The following is a 9,359-nucleotide window of genomic DNA, read 5'->3' as shown; positions in this document are numbered from 1 at the left end:
ACTCTTTCACTTTCTGTTGGGGGTGGGGGGTGACGGTGGGGTGGAAAAAGGAGCAATGAGGCTACTGGATCACAGTGCGGTTGGGTCGAGGGGGACTTCATGTGATAAGATCCAGATCCTGTTGGCTGGTAGGAGAGGGAGCTGAGGTTTGTTGCAGGGTAGATCCAGCTAGTGAGTAATGGAGAAGTGGTTCAGGCCAGGATGGAAACCCGGAAGCCCAGATGGAACCTTTGGCTATAAAGTGAAGTGCTCTTCTAGCACAGGATTCCAGAAGGGCTTGAGCAGATGGCGTCATGTTGGAGAGAACGAGAGCCGGGGCCCAGGCAGGACTGAGAGCCCTAAGAGTCCATGGCGTCAAAAGCAATGCCTCAAGCCTATTCCCTTTTTGATTCTTGCACAGTGGGGGTGATCCTCTTGCTGCAAATTTCAGTACGCTCCTGAGTGCCCAGAGCATCCGCGGATAAAATGTGTTGAGCATGCTTAAGGGGGCTCTGATGGAGCAGTGACACGGGTGTGGAGACAAGAGGAAGTTTCCACAGCAGAAGTCAGCACGGACCCCCACAGGGAAGGAGGACACACATAGTCTGGGGCCATGTCACCAGCTCCTCTGTCCACCTGGAGACACACTGTCTTGTTGAAGCCCTTCTCTGCTTAGACCTTGGAAGTTCAGTTCTTCATAAGGGAGAGTGACACTGGATGTGGGTAGCACCGGTCAGGTTTCTCTTTGTGGGTATTTGGTTTCCTTACATTCATGTCATGTAAGGGTCCCTAACCTCCAGGCCACAGACTGGTACCAGTCTGCTACCAGTCTGTGGCCTGTTGGGAATCGGGCCACACAGCAGGAGGTGAGTGACGGGTGATCGACCAGTCCTGCCTGAGCTTCTCCTCCTGTCACACCAGCGGTGGCGTTAGATTTTCCCAGGAGCACAAACCCTACTGTGAACTGCGTGTGAGGAACATAGGTTGCACATACCTTATGAGAATCTAAGAAATGCCTGATCATCTGTGGTGGAACGATTTTATCCCAAAACCACCCCCCACCCCACCATCTGTGGAAAAATCATCTTCTACGAAACTGGTCCCTGGTGCCAAAAATGTTGGGGACTGCCAATCTAATAGCTCTCTCCACTCTGTGACTCATTGTGTTTTATGTAAATCCATAGCCAATGATAAAAATGTGCCAAAGAAGAACTTGAATTATGATCAAGTCTTTCAAGATGATTCAAGTGGGGTTGAGCTCAGAGGCTTGTACAATCACTTGGCTATCAAAAAGTCTTAACTCAGTGGGCATGGTGTGACCCTGTAATTCCTGCACCTTGGGGGGCTGAGGCAGGAGGGTGGTTTGATCCCAGGAGTTCCAGACCAGCCTGGACAACAGAGTGAGACCTGGTCTCTGCAAAAGAAAAAAAAAATTAGCCGGGCATGGAGACATGCACCTGTAGTCTCGGCTACTCAGGAGGCTGAGGAGGGAGGATCGCTTAAACTCGAGTCCCAGGCTGCAGTGAGTCATGACATGACAACATCACTGCGCTCCAGCCTGGGTGACAGCAAGACCTTGTCTCAAAGGAGGAAAAAAAAAAAGTCAATAACTCTTTAGGATAAGTTGATTGAGGGACTTTACATGGGAGCAGAGTTCTTTTCTCTTTGGCTTTTAGGATCAATAATTGAAAGTGACAGAAGCAGGGTTTTGTACCGGCAGAAAGCAGAAATCCCTAGCTCAGGGAGTGACCTGGCAAAGGGGACTTGTGCCCGGGGCTGGTCAGTGACTCCAAAGGACCTTTCTTACTCCAAGGGCTCAGGATTCTATAATTCCAAGCCTCAACTTTTCTCCTTCAAAGATAAGCCTTTGGATCCAAGACGTTCACACGGGAACTACAGGCCCTGTCTGCAATGTTTTAAAAAAGGTTCTGGGGGATGTGTTTATGCATCCCCTGAGAAGAGACCAATTTAGTCCTAATTGTAGTTTCTTTACCTTCAAATAATAAATGTCAGACTTACATGAGTCTGGATTTTTCACTCAGGGCTTATTTTCTAGGTGAAAGCTTTGCATTGTGAAAAAGTAAACACATCCCAGAGGGGCTGCAGCACAGCAGCAGCCACTCCACAGATCTGGGAAAAACACTTCTGCCAACCCAGGGTGTAGCCAGGCTCCACAAAGCAAGGCACGGCACCGTGTCCCATCCTCAGACCTGGCCGTGGACACTCTACTAGGGGGCTGTGACTTCCAAGCCTTTTTTTTTTTTTTTTTTTTTTTTTTACTGCAATTGACATTTCCAACCCAGCACATACCCACATACGTAACCAAAGCAAAAGCTTCACGAAATAGTGACCTACTTTACCTTCCTCCCCATGATCGACTCTGATATTTCCACTCTGATTGGATATTTCCAATCATATTTTCTGGTAGGTCCTTTTATTTTCTACCTCATTTTTAAAAAATGTTGGTCACAGTTCACTAAATTGACTTCGTGATGCGCTAATGGGGGTGAGACCCTTAGTTTGAAATTTTGAAGGAGACTGAATTCTAAAGGCAATCCGTAGATTTAGGCATATTTTAGCCCCACTTCATGGATGGGAAAATCAAGGCTTTGTTGTGAATCAGTTTGTCAAAAGCTGTCAAGGCTGTTAGCATTGCTTGGGAGAATGAGATGAGAAGCTGAGATTTATATGAATGCATATGTCTATGTATGGGTATGGTCATTCACATTTATTCATTCAACATTTATTACATGGTTACTATGCATCAGAAGCTGCCTGACTCTATGGATATAAAAAATATAAAAGTTAATAGTCCAGGGCTGGGTGCAGTGGCGTGTGCCTGCAGTCTCAGCTACTTGGGAGGCTGTGGAGGGAGGATCACTTGAGTCCAGGAGTTTGAGGATGTGGTGCACTATGATTGCATCATGATCGTCTGTGAATAGCCAATGCACTCTAGCCTGGGCAACATAGTGAGATCCCATCTCTAAAAAAATTAATGTATTAATTAATAATTAATAAAATTAATAAATTAATAATAATTATATTTATATTATATAAATATATGTTATGTAATATATAATACACATATTATAAATATATGTTTATTATTATTATTATCATTATTTATTATTCATCTCCTCAGTAAGATTAGAGCCAATTCAAGATGAAACTTTTTTCCTAGGGTCCCCTGAGCATGACTTTGGGAAACCTGGCCTTCGTGTATAAATGGGAAGGCCCGTCTTTGGTGGGTGAGTGTCCTGTTGGCTTTGGCTGGGTATGCATAAAATAAGGAGCATTTAGTTTCAGAGACGCCACATGCAGAACGCAGCCTCCCTCCCTGCATTCCAGAGGATAGGAGCACGGTGTGAGAAGGGGGCCAAGTTCCCACTCCGTTTGCCAGAACCCTCCCATTTGGTGTCTCCTGTGCTCAGACAGAGGCCGGTGGCCGCACAACATTTCTTTCTGTTAGTGGGAAGAGACGAGAGGCCCCTGAGTGCTGGATGGTGAGGTGTGACCACCAGGGAGGGCCCACATGCTGGCCTGGCTCCATAGGCCATTTGGGGACAGCCAGGCTTTGGTTCTTCTCTGATAAGCTGATGGTGTGAGGGGAGACCCTGCAGTCCCAGAAAGTACAGTAATAATAATCCCATGCCCTGGGCTCTTTGATCACTCATAGGACCCATCCAACAACCCAAGGAAGGGGCAATGAGCCCCATTTTGTAGATAAAGTAAAGCACTGTATAGTGGATATTGCCCAGGGTCCACATATAGAAATGGCAGAGGATTAGCCTCGGTCGGCCTGTGAGTGAGGGCGGAGGCTAATCCTAAGGAAGAGAGGAGCCTAAAAGAAACTGAGACTTGGCTGGAAGGCCCTGGAAGGGCGGGGTTTGCAGTTCCCTGTCCAGTCTTTACCAGCTCCCCTGCACTGTACCACCCTCTGCCCCTTTCTGCCCCAAGCTGGGGCAGGCTAAGACGGGCCCAACGAGGACATGGTGACTGCGCATTTTTGAGATCTGGTGGAGCTCGTGCACGCAGCCCTTACTCAGCCTGAGCCCTGGGCCCAGGCAGCTTGGGGAGCTCTTCTGCTCTTTCACCAAGGCCCCACCTTAATTCGCAGAAACACATGAGCGGGACCTCCATCTGCAGTTCCTAGGGAAGTTGGCCTTCTTGTCTTCCTGGAAACTCTGCTTCAGGCTCTGCCCCGTCAAGTGCCTCTCCAGGAATGAGGGTGCCTGAGGAGCTGGTTCTATCTGTGATGAGGCTTTGCTGCCAAATGACATATCCTCTGGGCTGACGCAGTGGGCTCTAGATGGCGTGGGTAGAGGGGCGAGAGGCGGCTGCTAATGCAATGAGCTGTAGATGGGGTGGGTGGAGGGGGTGCGGGAGGCAGCTGGGCTCTGTGCTCCTGCCTGTGCTCCCGGCTCACTTGCGTCAGTCATGCTCTCTCAGACTGTAATGGCATCAAAGTTTGGAAATTCCTGGGCAGATACAAAATGTTCATGCTAAATGCTCATGCTAAAGGATTGCTGGTATAGAAATGCCTTTTTATGTCTACATCAAAGTAGACATAAAAAGTTTGCTCCTTGGGGAGACCACAAAAATAGAAGCTGGGCCCCTTTCATCTCCTGCAGATAGCTGTCCATGCCAGGGCCTTGGTAAGGAAAGGGGTCATTTCAGATTCATGAGTGTGCACTTCTTGGCCCTTTATCAAACTAATGCATTTAATGTGAGAATCAAACCATTATTGCCAAGCAAGAACAATGGGTCTAGGTCCCAGACAAAGGCATCTAGAGTTTCACAGACCAGAGTGGTGTTATTCAAAGTTGGACACCCCACCCCTGATTCAGTTTATTTATTCAGCCAGGGACTTGGGGAATATATAATTTAAGTTGAAAAACAAGACTGGGAAGGGTATTATATGTCAATCTGGTTACCAAAAGAGAGGCTACAGTCCAGCCTTGTCTTGACGCCATGTGGCTTTCTCGAGAGGCCCCTATGTAAATCCAGAGACTGTGTGCTGACAGAGCCTTTTGATAAGATCAGCCTTACACCCGACCGTAAAAATCTCATTGGGAAAACTAGAGTTTTGCTTTGAATAAGCCATCAGCTTGGAAGAGGTCCTTCTATTGGGATGAAGTCCGTCAAGCAATGAGAACGTTCGGCCAGACACGCTTTGCAAACTTCCTTCAGTGCCCAAACAGGGGAGCAGAGAAAGAACTGAGAAAGACCTACCTGGTGTGGGATGCGACACGATTAGATCTGGGTTTCTGTAGAGGGACAGACCTTCCGGGTTCTGGATGAAGCCGCTCCTGTCTTTGTGTATGGAATGAACTGTGTCCTCACTCCAAATTCCTGTCTTGAAGTTTCAACCGCCAAGACCTCCGAATGGCTGAATTGGAAGATAGCGCCTTTAAAGAGGTAATAAATAAGGTTAGATGAGGTCATTAGGGTGGGCCCTAACCCAGTATGACTGGTGTCTTTATTAGAGGAGCAGATGAGGACACAGACACAAAGGGATAGCCCTGTGAAGACACAGGGAGAAGAAGCCACCTGCAGGCGAAGGAGAGAGGCCTCAGGGGAAACCAGCCCTGCTCACACCTGGACCTTGGGCTTCCAGCTCCCAGGACTGTGGGGAAATGAAATTCTGTTGAAGCCACCCAGGCTGCGGCATTTGGTTATGGCAGCCCTAGCAACGGAATCTACTTTGTAAGGAAGAATGACTTCATCGGGTAGTTCCAGCGATGGCTTGGGGACATTTTGAGGTGACCTAGAAAACAAATCATTAAGCTTTCAGCATGGAAAAGAAGTTATTCTAATGTAATGAATGAAAAAGATATCCTCTCTCCCTGCCTGCCTCCCTCCCACCCAGCCCCAACCCTGGGGAGTAAGGATGAGAGGGGCTCAGGCATGGGGCAAGGGAGTGCTGAAAACGGTGTGTGAGTCCGTTCTCGCCTTGCTGTAAAGGACTACGCAAGACTGGGTAATTTATAAAGAAAGAGGTTTAATTGGCTCATGGTTCTGTAGGCCGTACAGCAAGCATGGCTGGGGAGGGCTCGGGAAACTTCCAATTGTGGCGGAAGGTGAACGGGGAGCCAGCACGTCCCACAAGGCTGGGGCAGTAGGAAGAGAGTGAAGGGGGACGTGCCACACGCTTTTTTTCTTCCCCCAAGACAGAGTCTGGCTGTCGCCCAGGCTGGAGGACAGTGGTGAGATCTCGGTTCACTGCAACCTCCGCCTTCTGGATTCAAGGGATTCTCGTGCCTCAGCCTCCTGAGTAGCTGGGATTACAGGTGCGTGCCAACACGCCTGGCTAATTTTTGTAATTTTAGTAGAGACGGGGTGTCACTATGTTGGCCAGGCTGGTCTTGAACTCCTGACCTCAGGTGATCTGCCCGCCTCGGCCTCCCAAAGTGCTGGGATTACAGACATGAGCCACCATGCCCAGCCCACACTTTTAAACAACCAGATCTGGTGAGAACTCACTATCACGAGAACAGCAAAGGGGAAGTTCGCCCGCGTGATCCAATCGCCTCCCATCGGGCCCCTCCCCCAACACCGAGGATTACAATTTGATAGGAGATGTGGGCGGGGACCCGAATCCAAACCATATCAGGGTGCAGCGTCCAGCATGGCTACTGGGGCCTTGGGTTTGTAACAGGTGTGAACCTGACCGTGCAAACTCAGACAGGAAAGGCTGCTCTTCTCTCTTCCTTTCAAATCAAATCAAGTCTAACTCAGCCCTTCCCCTGCTGAGCTGGTGGAAAATCCATCTCAGTCATTCTTGGGGCTGTGAGCAATGTGTTTTCATTTTTATATTTTTTATTTCTTACATTGTGGTAAAGTATCTATAAAATTAAGTTTACCATTTTCACCGCTTTTAAGTGTACGTCCATAATGTTGTGCAGCCACCACCACCATCCACCTCCAGAACGATTTCATCTTCCTGAACTGAAACTCTGTACCCATCTAACTCTAACTCCCCACTCTCTGCTTCCCCAGCCCCTGGCAATACCCATTCTACTTTCTACGACTTTGACTACTTTAGGTACCTCACCTAAGTGGAACCACACATTATTTGTCCACCTGTGACTGGCTTATTTCCCTGAGCACATGCCATCCAGGTTCATTCACGTAGCGTGTGTCAGAACTCCCTTTCTTTTCACAGCGGAGTAACATTCCATTGTAGGGATTAATCATGTTTGTGTGTCCATCATCTGTTGAATATGCTGCTATGGACATGGGTGTGCAAATATCTGTTCGAGTTCTTGCTTTCCATCCTTCCGTGTATATATCTGGAGAAGAATTGCTGGGTTGTATGGTCATTCTAAGTGTAACTTTTTCAGGAACTGCCATACTGTTTTCCACAGTGGCGGCAGCATTTTACATTCTCACTGGCCCTGCACAAGGGTTCCAATACCCACGTCTTCACCACACTTGTTATATTGTGTTTTATGTTTTTGTTTGGATAATAACCGTCCTAATTGGTATGCCAAGTATTTGGCAAAGGGGACTGGATCTGAGTCCCAAAGCACCCGGGAGGCCATTCTGGTCACCACTTGAGGTCCTACTCTCAGTGGACATGAATTCTATTGCTGCCAAAGCATGGTCACCTCTCCAGGGGCTGAGAGACAGTGCTCAAGGCCTGGCCTCCTCAGACGTGTCATTCACCTGCCCCTGAGTGCCTGCCATCATCCCAGAACACCGGCATGGGGAGGACCTCACAGTCCCTGGCCCCTTCTCAGTGCTGGGCCCCTTGTCCTCTCTCCCCTGCCCTCCCAGAACACAGCACACAATCTCCTCAACAAGTCCAGGCCAGAGGTCACACACCCGACTCCAGCACTGAATGCAGCTCATCAACATGCTTTGGCTAGCTCACAACAAACTTAGCTTTTACTTTAATTAAAATCTATGCCTGCACTGGAAGATAAACCACGAACCAGCAGCCAGATGAGAGACAGCTTGGAATCCCTGCACTGTCTTCCCTCCTGATGGGCCCATTGGCTGGTGGGTGTGGCATAGCCACTGACCCTAAGGACAGAGCTTTCCAAGTGCTTCCCTCCTTTGTCCCAGGCCAGCCCTGTAATAAAGGGGTCTCTGGAGTAGGCCTTCACAAAGATAGGTGAGAAATGGGCTTGGGGTGACCCCGTGCGGCTTTGTGATGCAAACCTCCCCACAGTCTTGCTGACCTGCTTGCAGTGGAGATTTTATAAAAATGCTGGGAGAACAAAACATAAATTCTGTTCTCAAGAATGCATATTTTTACACAGTAATTTCATAAACAAACAAGCAAGCTAAGTAGAGTAATTTAACTTTTCCTTGTCGATAGCTGTCTCAATACCGTGGCTCCAAAATGGCTGTATTTTTCTGGCTTCGGCCAGTCCAGCTCACTATCTGTGAGAACCAAGGGTCTGATCTGGGAGCAAGGAAGGATTCTGGGCAGGCCTATGGGGAGACGTATTAATGGTGGGCTATTTGTAGGCCTAGACACTTCTTGAGTTCTCAAGACCATCTACAGGCTTGGGATTTCCCTGTGCACCCATGGACTAGGTTGATGCTGTGTGCAGTAGGTGAGGAAGTCAGAGTGAAGACTAATCCCAGATAATAACCACAAAGACTGTCTGCTTCTGCAAGTGAGAACATGACAATGACCTCACATAATTCTGGTGACTACCATTCAGGAGCAGGATGACAACAGTGAGATTTAGGTATTTATTTCACCTATATTTTATTTTTTAAATAAACCTTATTTTTTTTAGGGCAGTTTTAGGTTCACAACACAATTGAGTGGCAGGCATAGAAAGTTCCCATACACTGCCTGTTCCCACACACGCACAGCCTCCCTCACTATAGACATCCCCCAGGACAGCGGTACATCTGTTACAATCGGGTGACCCTACATTGAAACACTGTTCACACCCAGAGTTCAGAGTTTATGTTGGGGTTCACTCTTGTTAGACATCGGTAAGTTGGACACACGTATGATGTGTAGCATCTTGCAGAGTAGTCTCACTGCCACACAAATACTTGGTGATCTGCCTGTTCATCCCGCCCTCCCCTTGATCCTGGCAACCACTGATCTTTTTTCTGTCTTCATAGCTTTCCCTTTTCCAGAATAGGCACTAGTTTTTTAAACTTTGTAGAATTTAACAACCATTAAAACTTTTTGAAAGCTTTTTGTGTCCTTTATATCAAACCCAAATTCCTCCAGCTGTCAAGGTCACCTTAAGTTACTCCGTTCCTTGTCTTATTTTCTGTAAACACCACGCCCTGCATCCTCATCGTCACTGCTGTGATTCATACCTAGCTTAATGCTTCACAGTACGCTGTTCACAGGAGCTGACTCATTAGTCAGCACTCATGGCTCATAAGTTTTTCCTCAT

The 9,359-nt window shown here is 47.9% G+C and overlaps 2 long non-coding RNA genes across 4 annotated transcripts in view; one reads left to right on the top strand and one right to left on the bottom strand.

The window, feature by feature from the left end:
- LOC102723944 (uncharacterized) overlaps positions 1–9,359 on the top strand; it is a 102,009-nt gene that overhangs the window by 60,132 nt on the left and 32,518 nt on the right. The window contains exon 1 of one of the 2 annotated variants that reach the window (XR_926383.3): positions 5,659–5,741. The exons of the other annotated variant lie outside the window; for it this stretch is intronic. This is a non-coding gene — a long non-coding RNA (uncharacterized LOC102723944). Of the gene's footprint in view, positions 1–5,658; positions 5,742–9,359 lie in introns of those variants that run through there. 2 annotated transcript variants of the gene reach the window in all.
- LOC105374883 (uncharacterized) lies at positions 2,687–5,666 on the bottom strand. 2 transcript variants are annotated; one of them, XR_926387.3, is made up of 3 exons: positions 5,578–5,666; positions 5,212–5,387; positions 2,687–2,960 (listed from the first exon to the last, which is right to left on the bottom strand). It is a non-coding gene; the product is annotated as an uncharacterized LOC105374883 (long non-coding RNA). The 2 variants fall into 2 exon arrangements; XR_007059402.1 differs by lacking the exon at positions 2,687–2,960 and adding an exon at positions 4,374–4,457.

The sequence above is a fragment of the Homo sapiens genome, chromosome 6 (assembly GCF_000001405.40).
Source record: "Homo sapiens chromosome 6, GRCh38.p14 Primary Assembly".
In the NCBI taxonomy this organism is placed as follows: Eukaryota; Metazoa; Chordata; class Mammalia; order Primates; family Hominidae; genus Homo; species Homo sapiens.
Note: the sequence above shows the minus strand (reverse complement) of the source record. Positions and strands in the feature narration are given on the sequence as shown.